The following is an 18,022-nucleotide window of genomic DNA, read 5'->3' on the forward strand; positions in this document are numbered from 1 at the left end:
TAGTATAATACATACTTATATATGCAATATTTAGTGTTTTCCAAAGTTGCGTAATCTTTTTTTTTTTTTTTTTTTGAGACAAGAGTCTCGCTCTGTCGCTGAGGCTAGAGTGCAGTGGCGTAATCTCAGCTCACTGCAAGCTCCGCCTCCCAGGTTCATGCCATTTTCCTTCCTCAGCCTCCCAGGTAGCTGGGACTACAGGCGCCTGCCACTACGCCTGGCTAATTTTTTGTGTTTTTAGTAGAGACAGGATTTCACCATGTTAGCCAGGATGGTCATGATCCACCCACCTCGGCCTCCCAACAAAGTTGCCTAATTTTAGGAATCACCCTTGAGTGCATGTAACATCTGTTAATTCTGGGGCCTCATCTCATGCCTCATGAATTCATCTTTCTGGTTAGAAATCTGTATTTTTAATAAGTAAATTAGGTATTTCTAGGATCAAGTTTTAGAAATACTACTATTATTGAATTCATTATATTAAATTTAACCTTTTCTCAAAATAAGTTGCTAATGTTTCGGATTTTATATATTTGGGTTTGCTTTGTTTTCAGTAAACAAGTGATTCCTACAAATTTATTGTGGCTTAATTGGTAAAACATAAAAATGATAACGCTCAGAATAAAGACTATTGGATGATAAACACAAAAATAACAATTATTTTAAAATTCCACCTATGTTCTGCCACTACCTATTAAAGCAAATTGTGCTAAATTTTCTGAATGATATTACAGTAAACTTCTTCTAGTATATTAGATTAGTGTTGCCTATTAATAGAAAACATTTCCACCCAAAGCCAGTATGTTTATGAGTCTTATTTTATGAATTAACTATCAAGACAGAATTTATAAAGATAATCTGTGTTTTCTACAAATTCTCTATGATTTAATATTGGATATTCTTGAAACTTTTCTCTGTGAACTTACTTAGTGCCCTTTATTCTACAGTCCTTTCTAGCTTGTTGCCCCAGCTACCTCCTCTTCCTACCTTCCTGTTTTTATTCAAATACAACATTATTTTTTAAAAGTCTATTTCACTGGGCACAGTGGCTCACACCTCTAATCCCAGCACTTTGGGAGGCTGAGGCAGGTGAATCACTTGAGCCCGAGAGTTTGGGACCAGCCTGAGCAACATAGCAAAACCTAATCTCTATCAAAAAAATTAAAAAGTAGCGGAGAATGGTGGCGTGCGCCTGTAGTCCCAGCTATTCAGGAGGCTGAGGCAGGAGAATCAGGAGAGCCCAGGAGGTTGAAGCTGCAGAGAGCCAAGATAGTGCCAATGTATTCCAGCCTGGATGACAGAGCAAGAGCCTATCTCAAAAAATAAATAAATAAATAAATAAATAAATAAATAAATAAATAAATATATTTATACATATATACACACATCATTATTGCTTAATAGTTTACATTGGAAGTATATATAAAAATGGACAATGACTCAAATATATAATGCCTAGATTTTGCATTTAGTATATGTTTTATGGTTGTAATAGCTGCAGAGTATTCATAAAGAGTGATGAGTTTAAACATTCAAATGTAAATTAAAATTTTTGTTATTCATTAGAAGGAGACCTACATTAGGGTTTTGCTTTTTTTTTTTTTTAAATTACGGATATAATAACATTTGGGTACTTAAAATGTGTTAGGCACTGTGCGGAGCCCTTTATATGCATTTTCTTCATTTAATCCTAACAACAGATGTAGAAGAGGTACTATTATCTCTATTTTACAAATAAGGTTGAGTGACTTGTCCAGGTCTTCTCAGCAGTTTGAGTGGCAGTGCTGTAATTTAAAGCCAGGAAGCATGATTCCAGATACTGAGCTCTTTATCCCTATGTAGTTTACTGCCTCATCAGTGAAGCCAGTACAGAAGGTTAAATTTCATGGTGAGTTAACTTTTAAGATTTAATATCTCTAAATCAGAATCTTCCCTAAGCATACCAATAAAGAAAAATTACTGAGTATTCTCAGTTTTCAGTTTTTTCGTTTTTCATGGGAATAGGAGAAAAGAGAGAAATGGGGAAATAGCTATCTCTTAGGTCACAGTTTGTAAATTCTGGATTAAAAAAAATTTTTTTTTTTTAGTGTAAAGTTAAAGGTGTCAATTTAAAAAAATACTTGTCAGGCCAGGCACAGTGGCTGACACCTGTAATCCCAGGACTTTAGTAGGCTGAGGTAGGCAGATCACTTGAGCTCAGGGGTTTGAGACCAGCCTGAGCAACATGGCAAGACTGTATGTCTACAAAAAGTACAAAAATAAGCTGGAGGTGGTGGTGTGCACCTTTGGTCCCAGCTACTAGGGAGGCAGAAGTGGGAAGATTGCTTGAGCCTGAGAGGCAGAGGTTGCAGTGATCTGGGATCATGCCACTGCACTCCAGCCTGGGGAGACTCTGTCTTAAAAGAAAAAAGAAGCCGGGTGCAGTGGCTCACGCCTGTAATCCTGGCACTTTGGGAGGCCAAGGCGGGCGGATCACGAGGTCAGGAGTTCCAGACCAACCTGACCAACATGGTGAAACACCGTGCTCAATTACAGGAGTGAGCCACCACACCCGGCCCACACCCAGTGAATTTTTTAATTTTAATTTTTGATGGAGGTGGGGGCTTGCTTTGTTGCCCAGGCTGGCCTTGAACTCCTGGGCCCAAAGAATTCTCCTGCCTCGGCCTCCTGAAATGCTGGGATTACAGATGCGATTCACCATACCTGGCCTCATTGTAATTTTAAAGCCTATTTTATGAAATGTTGTAGTATAGCATATAATAAATGTTCTTACCTGCTAAGAACAAGGAAAGGGAAAAGTATTAAATAATTTAAAATAGGATAAAACTTCAAAAAGTACTATAATGTTATAGTTCCTAATATTATGTTACTTATCTTTTTAAAAGGTTAGAAGTTGAGATAGGTTTAGAGGGGAGATATATACCTTATGTATAATATTGCTTGAATCATTCAGATATTTTATAGGGTTTACAACATCCAGTGTAAGCATAATTGGTCAACATATGAACCATAGGTTTGGATGTGGTGATTTTGAAGACGATAGGTCACTTGATATTTCATCTAGCGCGTTAGAAATACAAAATGAACAATACCCAAGACATTGTAAGCCTACACAAGGTTAGTAAATTTCATGACAAGTTAATTTTTAAGGTTGAATATCTAAATCAGAATCCTCCCTAAGCATACTGATAAAGAAAAATTAGTGAGAATTCTCAGTTTTGAGGTTTTTCATCTTACTCTGCTGCTGATCTGTTGTTGCTCAAATAATTTTGCCAAATAGGAGAACTCAAGGCTTTGTATATGATTTTTGGGCTTCCCTGAGGAGCCACTGCAAGGAAGCAACTGCTCATGAGGTTAAACACTAGGGAATTTCTGCTGACTTCTGCCCCCAGGAAATGCACCAGATACATGCACACAAAACACACACACACACACACACACACACACGTTTTTAGAAGACATTTTGCCACTAAAATGGAATGGAAGATCATGTGGATTAATAACTCCCAGATGCCCAGTTAGGTTGTAGCCCTGGAGTAAAGTTGGGGCAACAGGAATATAATTTTCCTGTGGTAGAACCTGAGAAAGCTTTGCTGTTATCATTAACCATTCTTGGCCAGGCGTGGTGGCTCACGCCTGTAATCCCAGCACTTTGGGAGGCTGAGGTGGGTGGATCACCTGAGGTCAGGAGTTCGAGACCAGCCTGCCCAACATGGCGAAACCCCATCTCTACTAAAAATACAAAAACTTAGCTGAGCGTGGTGGCAGGCACCTGTAATCCCAGCTGCTCAGGAGGCTGAGGCAGGAGAACTGCTTGAACCCGGGAGGCGGAGGTTGCAGTGAGCCGAGATGGCGCCACTGCACTCCTGGGTGACAAGTGAAACTCTGTCTCAAACAAAAAAGGAAAAAAAGAACCATTGTTAAGAATGGTTTTTTTAAACTTAGTAGCAAGTAGTACCTCTGTGACTACTCTGTCCATTGCTTAAGAGATCCTATTACAGCTGCATTTTAAAAATTTCCCTTACAATAAAAAAAAGTGGTTTTGAAGGGTATAAATATTTAAATAAATGTTAGGTTGGTGCAAAAGTAATTGTGGCTTTTGCCATTTTTAACTGCATACTCCTTTTGCACCAACCTAATAATTAGAAGATGCACCTATAATCTAAAATATGTAAGTAAATAAAAAGCTGTTATTTTCATGTGAATAGCAGCTGTGGTCATTATAAGGTCAACTTCTGTACTATGTTATTTCTGATTTTTTTTTTTCTTTTTTGAAACAGTCTCGTCTGTTGCTCAGGCTAGAGAGCAGTGGTGCAGTCTTGGCTCACTGCAACCTCCACCTCATGGGTTCAAGTGATTCTCGTGCCTCAGCCACCCTAGTAACTGGGATTACAGGTGCATGCCACCACGCCTGGGTAATTTATTTTGTATTTTTCAGTAGAGACAGGGTTTCACCATGTTGGCTAGACTAGTCTCGAACTCCTGGCCTCAAGTGATCTACCTGCCTTGGCATCCCAAAGTGCTGGGACTACAGGTGTGAGCCACCACACCTAGCCTGCCATTTCTGATTATCTTAAATTATGTATGAGCACACAATCAGGCATTTTAGGACATGAATATTTTTTGTGGACATAACTCAAATTGAGTAAGATGGAGCTTGATTAGAAACTTTTTTTGGTAAATTTCTTAACATTTAGTCTATAATATAGTTTAGTACTGTTCTGTTTGGCAGCAATAAGTTGTTATTGTTTTACAAAAGAGAATACGATTTTTCCATATTTATTTACATGTTTTATTTCCCATGTAAAGAAAATCAAGGACAAAAAATGCTTTTCTTCTTAAAAGTAACTCATACCCTCATGTAATTTTTTATTTCTTTTAATTGCTTTGAAATAACTGTTGAATATGTTCATTCACTGCTAGTGGCTTCCTTTTTTAGATGGCAGAATCATAAACATATTTACATCTTTTAGCCAGAAGTTAATTCTACTCCATAAAATTACATCACATTCGCACATCCAAATCTGAACCAGGTATTTACTAAATCTGTCTTGGCAACAAGAACAAACACGTTGAAAACCAAATTTAGCTTTCTTCCTATACCCATTTCTCTTCCTTTGATGTCCATTTTTATTGGTAGCATTACCATTTTCCCAGTTATGGAGGCTTAAAGCTTTACAGTCATTTTTGTCTCTTTACCTTCCAAGTTTAGGAGGTGGCTTATCCTATCATTTACTCTCAGTCTAACTTAATGTATCTGCTGCCATAGTTGTAATTTGGGCCCTCTTTACCACTTCCCTGGGTAATTACAAATCTTTCTGGTAAGGCTTCCCTCTTATTTTCATTCCTCTTAAATCCAGGCTGCATAGTCTTCCAGAATTGTCTTTCTAAAATACAGTCATTATCTCTTCCATACTCAGAACCTTGATTGACACATAAAACTAACACCTGGAAAAAAAAAACAAAAACCTTGAGTGGTTCTCTGTTTTCTTTTTTTTGCAGTTGCAAGATTTAATAGAGTGAAAATAGAGCTCCCATACAAAGGGAGGGGACCCAAGGAGGGTAGCCGTTGCCAGCTCGAATGCCTGGGTTTATATCCCAATCAATGTCCCCTCCTGCTGTGCTCTCAGGCGATAGATGATTGGCTATTTCTTTACCTCCTGTTTTTGCCTAATTAGCATTTTAGTGAGCTCTCTTTACTACCTGATTGGTCGAGTGTGAGCTAAGTTGCAAGCCCCGTGTTTAAAGGTGGATGCGGTCACCTTCCCAGCTAGGCTTAGGGACTCGCTGTCGGCCTAGGAAATCCAGCTAGTCCTTTCTCTCAGTCCGCCCTCTCAACAGGAAAACTCAAGTGCTGTTGGGGTGGTTGGCTGATGACTGCTCTAACTGCTTCCTGCTGAATTGGGGCATAGTAGGGGTCATGCAGTTGAGATTTCCTCGGGAGGGGTGACTTCAGTGTCATCAACATCAGAGCATGGGCTAGCAGGCTGGTCCAGGGGTCTGTGGTAGATTTTAGTCATGGACTGCATCTGGGGCTCCATTTGAAGAGCCATTTGTAGCTTTACCGCTTCGATTCTGGAAGAGACCAATTTAATAAGGAGGTTAAAGATACAGGGTCCAAAGAAGAGTAACAATATTATAGCTGCTAGAGGTCCTAAGAAGGGGAGAATCCAGGGCATCCACTGGCTGAGGAGGCCCCAGGGTCTGGTGCTTTGAAGCTCCTATGCTCTGCGTTGTATTCCATCTCGAATTTCTTTAACTTTCTCAGTGATGATTCCAGATTGATTAACATAATAACAGCATTCTTCCCCTAAAAATAAACAGGTTCCCCCTCTTTCTGCAGTTAGCAAGTCTAAAGCTCTTCGATTTTGAAGTACTACTGCTGCTAGGGAGTTAAGTTGATCTTGCAAGGTGACCAGGGAGTCGGCAACCCGTTCCATGTCACCATTTAGTTCTTGAGATAGTTTGTAGTAGAACTGAGTAGAGGTTGTGATACTGCCCATGCCAGTACCTAATCTGCCTAGCATTCCTGCTCGGATAACAAAAGGAAGAATGGGTACTCTTTTGTTGCGGGGCTTAGGTACGACATAATTGTATAAATCTTGTTCAGTGTAGATGGTCATAGGGTGCACTAAGAATGAGAGGAAGCACATAGATTCCGAAAAGCCATTCAAACAGTGATAGGCTGAGGTACCACAGACAAAAAATATTCCTGAGGGTAGGCAGACTATTTGTGTGGGAGGAGTTACCCATCTGATGCACTGGGAGTTGGTTGTGTCTATAGTATTGCTAAATTTTACACGGGTGAGGTTTGAGGTATGGGTTATTTCCAGATTGGAAACAAGAGGTCCTACTAAAATGGAAGTGGTGTTTATTTCTGTGCTGAAGTTGTTCCATTGTTCAGGTACAGGGATTGAAATATGTGGCCTGTAGTGCAGGGGGAGGCACATTCAACAGTTAGTAGGGTTTTGGGCCAAGGCCTCATGGAGCCCAGTGAGGGTGGTATTAAATAGGCTTACCTGGTGAGTATGGGTATGGAGGGTTTCATGTAGTTTTGAGAGATCTAGTCCTTTGTAGGGGTTAGGGGTGCTATGTACCCGGGTCAGTTGGGAGATTACTTCCTTTATGTGTTTTTCTCCTGCCTGATCTTGAACTCCACGCCCATCAGACATACTGGTATGGGTGAAGTAAGTCCAACAGACAGTGGCTCCAAGTCCTCCCGGACAACTAGGATTAAAAATTTTCCCTGTCCAATAATGAGTATTTGCATGCATGCAAAGAGTGGCAGAGTTACAGCAGTTGCGGGGCATATGGGTATGGGGCAGTGAAGGTGGGGTTTCCCTTAGATAAACTCCTATATGATGGGGCATCAATATTTCCGGGAAGCCGCATTCTCCATAGAAACTCTTGGTAACGGGAGCTACTGGTCATACAGTGGCATGGAGGGGGTGCAGTGAGAATGAAAGGGGGTAAGAGAACAGTAAAGAGAAAAATATGATAAGGGAGGGCCATGGGGATTTACGATTTTAGTTACTTTCCTCACGGTTGTTGCTTGAAGAGCAGGCCCAGATCCTCTAGAGGTTCACAGGAATAGCTAGCGTTGTCTCCTGGATTTCCGGGTTCTTTTGGCAGTAGCCAGGGTTTGACTCGAGTGTGATGTATCCTAGACTCCACTCCAGCCACTTTAACCGCGGTTGGGGTAGATAAAATGACCGGGTAGCGTCCTTCCCAGGATGTATCTAGGGATGGGGAATCAGAAGGAAGGGGCTTGACTAATACCATGTCACCAGGGTGGAATAATTCCTTTCCCTCTTCTCAGGGACAGGCTTCTTGTCATGTTTTAAGAACTTGCTGATATTTGGCTAAGGAGGTGATATCTGCAACTAAGTTGGCCGTCTCTCGGTCAAGCACAAGGTCATTGGTTAGGAAGGGCCGTCCATACAGCATTTCGTATGGGCTAAGTCCTGCTTTTTGGGGAGAGTTTCGGATTCTTAGTAAGGCTATAGGCAACAGAGCAGGCCATGTGAGGTGGGTTTCCTGGGTTAGCTTTTTTAGATGTTGTTTGAGTGTTTCGTTCATTTTCTCGACCTTCCCCGAGGATTGTGGCCTCCAGGTGCAGTGTAAGTGATATTGTATACCTGACATCTGCGATAGTCCCTGGGTTACTGTTGCCTTGAAAGCAGGGCCATTGTCACTCTGTAAGCCTCGGGGAAGTCCGCATCTGGGAATTATTTCATGAACTAGTGCCTTTATTACCTCTTGGGCCTTTTCTGTCCTGCAGAGGAAGGCCTCTGCCCAACCAGTGAAAGTATCTACCGAAACTAGTAGATACTGAAATCCCTGAGATTTGGGTATGTGGGTAAAATCTAGTTGCCAGTCTTCTCCTAGGTAATGGCCTGTTCTTTGTTCTCCTGAAGGAGCTTGGCGATAAGGCAGGGGATTATTTCTTTGGCACACTTCACAGGCCCTGACTATCTGCTTGATAGTTTTGAAAAGGCCTGGTCCAGTAAATAATGATTTGGCCATCTGATAGGTGCTATCAATGCCTAAGTGAAAGTTTGGTGAAGGGTTTTAAGTAATTTCCATTGGTTAGCTGCAGGCAAAAGTATTTTTCCTTCTTCGGTGGCTAGCCATCCTGAGGGGAGGAAACTATGTCCTCATGAGGTTCCCCATTCATTTCTTCTTCTGAGTACTGTGGCTTGGTTTCCTGGAGGGGATTACCCCATACTCAGGGTCCTTCTGTAAGCATTTCTAATGGAGGGTCCTGTCTTGCAGCTCTTTTTGCTTCAATATCTGCTTGGTGATTCCCTTCTATTTCCCTTTCCTTTCCTTTCTGATGACCCCGGCAGTGTAAGACTGCCACTTCTTTAGGTTTCTGTACCACCAATAATAATCTCCTAATGACTTCCTGATGTTTGATAGGTGTTCCCTCGGAAGTTAGGAATTCCCTTTCTCTCCATATTGCTGCGTGGGCATGGAGGACTAGGTAAGCATACTTAGAGTCTGTATATATATATTTACCCTTTTCCTTCTCCTAATTCTAGTGCCTGACTGAGGGCTATTAGTTCTGCCAGCTGAGCACTAGTTCCTGGAGTGAAGGAATTACTTTCAAGTATTCCATTATCACTGACCACTGCATACCCCACTTTTCGAAGTCCTTTTTCTACAAAGGAACTTCCATCAGTATACAAGTTGAGGCTGGGATCAGTCAAGGGAACCTCTAGAAGGTCCCCTCGAGCGGCATAGGTTTGAGCAATTACTTGTTGACAGTTATGTTCTATATTTTCTTCATTGTCTGGAAGAAATGTGGCTGGGTTGAGTTGCACAAGTGTGCAGTCGCAGCACTGGCCCTTCAAGTAATAGAGCCTGATATTTATATTGATATCTGATATTGATATTGATACCTGATATTGTTGTCTGACAGTCACAAGTCTCCTTTAGCAGTGAGAATGCTGTTCACATCATGAGATGTCCACACAGTAAGATCTCTTCCCTGTATTATTTTAATGCTTCAGATACTAAGACTGCTACTGCCACCACTACCCGTAAACAATGAGGCCAACCCTTTGCCACTACATCAATTTCCTTACTCAGGTATGCCAGGGGTTGCAAGCTCGTCCCTCAGACCTGTGTAAGGACCCCTAGAGCTATTCCCATTTTTTCTGTGACATATAAAGAAAAGTCTTGCCCCGTTGGCAAGCTTAACATGAGTGATTCTCTGTTTTCTACAGAACAGAGTTCCTACTCCATGGCATAACTTTTTTTTTTTTAAGACAGAGTCTCACTCTTGTCGCCCAGGCTGTAGTGCAGTGGTGCAATCTCGGCTGACTGCAACCTCTGCCTTTCAGGTTCAAGCGATTCTCCTGCCTCAGCCTCATGAGTAGCTGAGAATACAGGCATGCGCCACCATGCATGGCTAATTTTTGTATTTTTGGTAGAGAAGGGGTTTCACCATGTTGGCCAGGCTGGTCTCGAACTCCTGACCTCAGGTGATCTGCCCACCTCGGCCCCACAAAGTGCTGGGATTACAGGCGTGAGCCACCATGCCTGGCCCCATAGCATAACTTTTAAGACCCTTAATAATCTTGCATCAGCTTAATTTATTTTTATATTACCTCTTACTATTTTTCTCTTCATGCACTGTGCTCTTGCACTTTTAATACTAGTTTTTTTAGTTTGTATGTGAAGGACCTAGGTGCCCTTTCCTAGTTGTAATGGTCCATATCATGTCTGCTGTCTCAATTAATAACTTGAGAAAGTGGAGGGTGCTTGAAGTATTAGCAAACTAGATTCCATGATTTACTATTTACTCTTTTGATATTTGAATTAGATGGAAGTATTATAACAAAGAAAAAATATATAATGATATTTGTGTGTGAAGAAGCCTTTAAACATATTTTCTATATATTTTAGAATTGAGACTTAATGAACAATATTTCTTTCAACATTTCTTTAAGAAAAATATAGTGTAAAACATAAAAATATATTAAAAATGATTAATGACAGCTTCTCTTATAAATGAAGTTAAACTCATTGGAGATAACATGTCTTTTATATTTTTTTGATGAGATTTGTCTGATCATTCGTCTCTTGATAGTTTATGTATAGATTTTATGTTTATGTGGACTGTTGAGCAAATTATTCCATTTACTGAGATTTTTTTCTCTTTGTCACAGAACACGTTTTTGGGCTAACCCGTGTTTCTGTTAGTTGATGTGTGTACTAATTTTGATTGCATACTAAAGAAGAAATACATGAAAAATGATCACTTACATGGATTTCTTTCTTTAATCTTTGCCATTTTCACATAAAGCCAGGTTACTATTAGCATTAGCAGTTGACAAAACAATCTATCTGCTGCTTAATTTTTAAAAATCAATTATTTGATTGACTTTATCACTGTTTAACTGCTTTTCTTTCATAAAACCTAAAGCAATACATATTTCTCTTTTCTTTTTTTGCCTTGATACATTCATCTAACATATATTTATGGAATACCTGGTATGTGCCAAACACTATATTAGGCTCTGGGAAAGAATAATCATCAAAACTAGACATAGATCCTATCCCCATGGAACTTACAGTCTAGTAGGATTGTAAATAAAGAATCAGAAACTAAGATAAAAGTTAACCTAGAAAAGCACAGATTGCTGTGACATTGACCTGATCTGTTTTCTGATGTCAGAGGATTTTCTTTTTGATGACCCTTTTGTTGCCTGATTATCATGCTGTGATAAGTCGCTTGTATGCCTCTCACACCTCACCCTGACATGTAAACTCCTTAAGGAAAGGAAGGGGCCAGGCATGGTGGCTCATGCCTGTAATACCAGCACTTTGGGAGGCCGAGGCAGGCGGATCATGAGGTCAGGAGGTCGAGATCAGCCTGACCAAAATGGTGAAACCCCATCTCTACTAAAAATACAAAAATGAGCTGAGCATGGTGGTGCGTACCTGTAATCCCAGCTACTCAGGAGGCTGAGGCAGGAGAATCGCTTGAACCCAGGAGGTGGAGGTAGCAGTGAGCCAAGATCACACCACTGCATTCCAGCCTGGGCGACAGAGCGAGACTCCATCTCAAAAAAAAAAAAAAAAGGAAAGGAAGGTTTAAGTGCCTAGTCCATTCTAGTATTGCAGTTACAAACATTTATAATGACTTAATGAACGTGTGAATAAATTGTAAATTCTTTGTATGAAATAAATTTTCAGTTTTAAAAGACTATGTTACAATATCCTAAGATACTACATAATAAGCAAATATGTTTAAGTATTTGTTTTGTTTTTTGGGGGATTTACAGGGTCATCATCAAATCCACAGCAAATTTCCAGTTTTGACTTCACAACCACAAAGGCTTTATCAGAAGACTCAGTAGTAGTTGTTGGAAAAGGTATTTCAAAGTTATTTCGCTTCTTAATTATATGTATTCATCATATAGAAGCAAAGCCTATCAATAAGGAATAGAAAAGAATGTGATTCAAGTGTTGAGTGGAACTTCTTTTTAAAAATGTATTACATTATCTTCATTAAAATAATTAGAAGTGAATACTTACCTTCACATTTCTATCTTCTAATGAAACTATAGTAAATTCATGTCATTAATTTTCAGAGAGATGTATTATGTGACAGCTGCAGTTTAGGTACTTCTAAGACTATTTTAGGATAGCTTACTTAGTTTTAGCATAGTTTAAATTCAAGTAGCCCTTATTTATCAGCGTAATAATCAATATAAATTAATATAATTATCTCCCATACAAGATCTAGACAAGTGAAAATTAAACTCCTGTTATATATTTTAAGGGGGCTAAGGGACCTTGAACAAAATTATTGCAAGTATCCTTTAAAGCTATTTTCTATTTTAATTGAAAACTAGAATGTGGTAATATACATTGAGGGTATGCATCTTATTTTTGTTCAATATAATGAAATAGAATAAACGTTTTGAAAAATTTGTCCTAACTTCTTTGCTTGATAGTCTCATTAGGTTATTTTAAAACCCTCCTCAGATTGGCTACAGCTTACTCTTGTAAACTTATTTTCTGTTATTCCTTTATTTGCCCGGCCAAGCTCATTTATTCGCTCCACATAAATGCTTTAGAAACTTTCAACTCTGCATGTAAACATCCCCATCTCATAGATTTCCCCCTCTCCTTCTTTACTTTATACAGATCCTTCCTGTCTTCAAATCCCAGCTCAAATCCTTGCTCCTTGAAACCATCTTAAACACCCAGCTCTGCCAGGTGCAGTGGCTCACTCCTGTAATCCCATTCTTTGGGAGGCCCAGGCGGGCAGATCACTTGAACTCAAGAGTTCAAGACCAGCCTGGACAACATGGCAAAACCCCATCTCTACCAAAAAAAAAAAAAATACAAAAAATTGGGCAGGCCTGGTGCTGTGCGTCTGTAGTCCTAGCTACGCAGGAGGCTGAGGTGGGAAAATTGCTTCAGCTTGGGAGGTGGAGGTTGCAATGAGCCGAGATTGTGCCATTGCACTCCAGCCTGGGTGACAGAGAGAGACTATCTCAAAACAAACAAACAAACAAACAAACAAAAAACAGCTCACAGCAACCTTTTCTTTATGTGTGCTTACCACTTATAATATGCAGCTCTCACTTATTATCATGAACTGCATTCTGCCACCTCTTATATTAATGCCCTATTAGGGTATTTGTTTTTATATTTTATAATTATTTAGCATGTTTTTCTTACTAACTGTGTTGTTTGATTCTTGAAGGCAAGAGCCTTGCCTTAAACTTTGTTGTCTAGAGTACCATCACATAATTAGTTAATGACTATTTGGTGGTTGGTTGATTTCAGGCGTATTTGGAAGTTTAAGTTCAGCACCAGCAACCTGCAGCCAATCAGTGATATCTTCTGTGGAAAATGGGGATACATTTTCAATTAAACAAAGTATTGAACCACCATCAGGGATTTATGGAAGATCAGTCCAGCAAAATATTTCATCATATCTTGATGTTGAGAATGAAAAAGATGTAAGGTTATTTGCTAATTATTAGAATAAATTTAAGCTTACAGTATGTCATTGTTTTGTGTATATCAGATGTGGGGTGGTGAAAGTATTTCAATTAAAATTTAAAAAATCTTAGTACAGTTGAAATTTTGAGCCTTGGCAATGTGGCAAAGCCCTGTCTCTAGGAAAAATACAAAAATTAGCCAGGAAAAATACAAAAATTAGCCCGAGAAAGTAGAGAGCCTATTTTCTCTAGGAAAAATACAAAAATGTAGCTACAGCCATGCGTGCCTATGGGCCCAGCTACTTGGGAGGCTGAGGTAGGAGGATCACTTGAGCTCGGACGGTCGGACTTGAGCTGCAGTAAACCGTGATTACGCCACTGTACTCCAGCCTGGGCAATACAGTGAAACTGTCTCAAGAAAAAAAAAAAAAAGAAATTTTGATTCTTAATCATTTAAATATAGATTATTCGTCCTTCCCACTTAATAAAGGCATTCTTATCCTGGGGATAAAGTATGTAATATACTTTGTATTCTCCATGTACTTTATATTTTACATGTACTATATATACATATATATGTATGGGTATATTCTGTTTTCTAGGACACACTTAAGTAGTGACAGACTAATATCCTCAGACACAAATTAGTTATCTGAGATGAAGATATTTTAAATATCAAAGTCCCTGAATATTTTCAGACTTTCAACTTTTTCATGCAGGCTAAAGTTTCTATTTCTAAATCTACTTATAACAAGATGAGACAAAAGAGAAAAGAAGAGAAAGAACTGTTTCACAATAAAGATTGTGAAAAGAAGGAAAAAAATTCCTGGGAACGAATGAGACATACAGGAACTGAGAAAATGGCATCTGAAAGTAAGTGGAATTTAAGTTTTGGTATTTTTTTTTTCTAGTAATTGTCTAAAGCTGGTGAAATGAGGTTTCACTGAGGGTAATATATGACTAAGAATGAAATATCTTATATAACACCGAAATTTGCAAGTTCTGCCTTTAATTAGCTTTGTGACCTGGAAGCAGCCCTCAGTTTTCTGCCCCTGTGAATATCTTGATTATCTCAAAGGTCCAGATTATCTCAAGGATCTCTTCTATACTCCTGGAAATATTCCTGTTTTACTGAGGAGTGGTATCCCATTTTATAGTAGATAACTGAGATGGTGATTCTGGTTTATATTACATCATGATCCAAAAAGGCCATTGCATTTGTCATTTATTCAGTCTATCCTTGAGTACCTACTATGTTTTGTGCTTGGTCAAGAGTAGGCTCTATGTTTCCTGGTGTTGTTTTTTAAAATATTGAATACATGTTAGGTATAGTAGCAACTAGGAAAAATCAGAGGTTGAAATGAAAAATCATGTGAACTATAATAAACATTAAGTATTATTGCTTAATTACTGTTTTGTTAAATATTATTAAGAAATAAACTGAAATATAAACACTATTAAATTTATGTTGTATCTGAAGTCTAGATAGCAACAAAATACTCAAGAAGGTTACAAAAATACTCTAAATTTAATAGACAATATACTTCTTTTGAAAGTAAAAATAAAAAAGATTTAACCTAAATTAATGTCTGAGGTTTTTCCTAGCTTTTATTTCCATTATAATGCAACAAGTGGAGAAAACTGTATTTTCAAAGCTAATCACTGTTGAGAGTATGCCTGATGAGAGGTGTTAGCCTGTACAATTGTGGCTGAAGATGTCCCTAAAACCCATTAAATGTAGGTGTTTGTGAAATTTAAGCCTCTTAGCATTCTCAGATAATTCACTATTTGTTATTGTCATAAAATTCAGGGAGAGAAAAACCCACGAAACTTCCTACCTAACTTAGCCAGTGTGAAGAGTAGAAATAGAAGTACAAGATTACAAATAGTAATAAATCATAAATTTGGGGTATTAATTCTTGATGGATCAACTAATTTTGTGATTTTTGCCTACAATGTAGGCTTTAAAGATTAGGTTTCTGAGAAGTATAAGGAGAGTACTGCTTTGAAGTTACCCTTATATTATTTGAAAATAAGAATATGCTTACACAATTATTATCTTGATCAGCTCAAAGTGTAGTTGTTTAGCTCTGTTTATGGTTATGAACATATTAGCAGAAATAATTTTTAATAGCTAAATTCTAATTGGATATGCCTCCAGTTAAGAAACTTTCTATCAGTTAGATCACTGCTACTCAAAGTGTGTTTCATAGACTGTGTGAACTGTTTATTACTCATCTATGATAACATACATACAGACAATATTTAGCTTCTAGAAACTATTTTAACAATTTGACAATGCCACAACACTTTTATTGTACTTTATAAAAGTATCAGTCTGCAACATAGTGGAAGTTTTGTTGTTTTTTGTTGGTTTTTTTTTGAGATGGAGTTTTGCTCTGTCGCCCAGGCTGGAGTGCAGCGGCACGATCTCGGCTCACTGCAACCTCCACCTCTTCGGTTCAAGCGATTCTTCTGCCTCAGCTTCCCGAGTAGCTGGGACTACAGGTGTGCACCACCATGTCAGGCTAATTTTTGTATTTTTAGTCAAGACGGGGTTTCACCATGTTGGACAGGCTGGTCTCGAACTCCTGACCTCGTGATCTGCTCACCTCAGCCTCCCAGAATGCTGGGATTACAGGTGTGAGCCACCATGCCCAGCCAACAGTGGAAGTTTTTAAAAAAAAAAATCTTCATTTGAGCATCACTACTTTCAATTGATATTCTATACACCTCCTTTTTCAAAATAACATTCTTCAGGTGAAAACAAAATAAAGATAGGTGATAGTACTTTGTATTGTTATAATCTCAAGGTTGAAAATTTGGTGTTTATCTATATCTCTTTCTAATGAGTTATTGTTTCATGAACGTGGGAATGGATTAGATATATTAAGGGAATTCTTAAAACTTCCACATTGGTTTCTTCATCTGTAATATACTACTAATAATTACTATGTAGGGTTGTTGAATGAATTAAATTAGATAGTATGAATGATGGACTTAGCACAATACTAGGGAAGATAATAAATGATAATAGTGCTTTTTTTTATTTGCTATTCTTTCAGGATTGGGATATTCCAAAGCTGGAGGATTTTATTTATACATGTTAGTCTTAGATATGAAGCCTAATGAGGGTCCATCTGAACCATCAAAAAAAAGTGAAAGGGGTCTATTATATTCTTTAATTGGTATATCATCTTCCTCACATAACAAAAACTGGTACTGATTTATCACTATAGTAATTTAAGGCATCATATTTTACCTTTTTACATTTTTTGTTAGATATATGATGAATTTTTTGAAAGCAGAGATTCTGTCTTATACCTCTTTATATAAGATCACAGGTAATGGTGGCCGTAGATCTAAGTCCTGCCTCTCCCACTCATTAGCAATGGAACCTTAAGTAAATTTCTTAGTCTCTGTAAAATGCAATTATTTTCTCAGCTGCAAAATAAAGATAGTTAGAATACCTACCTCAGCTTTGTTGAGATAATTAAATGCAGTAAAGTTTGCAAAGCATTTATCCCAAGGTCTGGTGTATAGTATTTAATAAATGCTAGCTAATATCATTAACACCTTGTTGCCTTTGGATTTTAAATGACCAACTCTGAATATGTAATTAGTATGCAACATCAAGTGAAATCTCTTATATTTGTGATTTCAGGTAACATTTTCTCACAGATAACATGGTTAATAAACAATTTTTGATGATAGTTTCTAGTGACTAATATTTCCTTTCTAAAAATATCTCTTAATATGGAAAAATAGCCAGTAAATCTTTACCTACTTATAAAAGCCCATTCTATTTGACCCTTTTCTTTTTAATATCTCCACTGCACGTGTCTCGCATTATATAGTGCTCTCAAGGATATTATCCTGAGCACTCAAAGAGGATGATTTGTTTTCTCAGCTTATAGTACAGTGCCTTACATCTGGAAAATGCTTGGTCAATGTCTTATTATAGAGGAAACATCATTCTTATTACTACACATGGTCTTAGAATTTGTAATAGGCCACTAATTCTATATCGATAGAGAAAATCAACTAGAATTCTACATACAGATGCCATGAACCTTCATCTTCACTTCTCAGTTATAAAACAGGTATATATCCACATTTTTACAAAATGGGATCGTACTACTTCTTTTGCTTTTAGCTGTTAAAATAAAGCTAGACTTTGTTATGACTCATGACTGAAAAATTACTTGTAGTTTTATTAAATATAATTTGTTAATAATTTTGCATATAAAAAGTAAAGTTTTCAATAGTTTTGCATATAAAAAGTAAAGTTTTCAATAGTTTTGGTTTCTGGGTACTGTAATTTTCCTCAAGACTAAACTAATAGTACTAAGTTTCCATAATAAATATTCATCACAACTGTAGTCAGAATAATGTTTGTACCCTTTGTATGAAGGACTCTTGGCCAGGCATGGTGGCTCATGCCTGTAATCCCATCACTTTGGGAGGCTGAGGCGGATGGATTGCTTGAGGTCAGAAGTTCAAGACCAGCTTGACCAACATGATGAAACCCTGTCTCTACTAAAAATACAAAA

General features: G+C 38.1%; 1 protein-coding gene across 9 annotated transcripts in view; it reads left to right on the forward strand.

The window, feature by feature from the left end:
• Nucleotides 1–18,022, forward strand: part of TOGARAM1 (TOG array regulator of axonemal microtubules 1) — a 112,242-nt gene that overhangs the window by 51,798 nt on the left and 42,422 nt on the right. For 5 of the 9 annotated variants that reach the window (NM_001308120.2, XM_011536571.2, NM_015091.4 and 2 more), the window contains 3 exons: nucleotides 11,796–11,885; nucleotides 13,312–13,487; nucleotides 14,189–14,342. In NM_001308120.2, coding sequence (NP_001295049.1) covers nucleotides 11,796–11,885; nucleotides 13,312–13,487; nucleotides 14,189–14,342 — 420 coding nt within the window. Of the gene's footprint in view, nucleotides 1–8,922; nucleotides 8,987–11,795; nucleotides 11,886–13,311; nucleotides 13,488–14,188; nucleotides 14,343–18,022 lie in introns of those variants that run through there. The other 4 variants (NR_131765.2, XR_943403.3, XM_017021098.2 and 1 more) reach the window with 4 other exon arrangements.

Source organism: Homo sapiens, chromosome 14 (assembly GCF_000001405.40).
Source record: "Homo sapiens chromosome 14, GRCh38.p14 Primary Assembly".
NCBI classification, from domain to species: domain Eukaryota; kingdom Metazoa; phylum Chordata; class Mammalia; order Primates; family Hominidae; genus Homo; species Homo sapiens.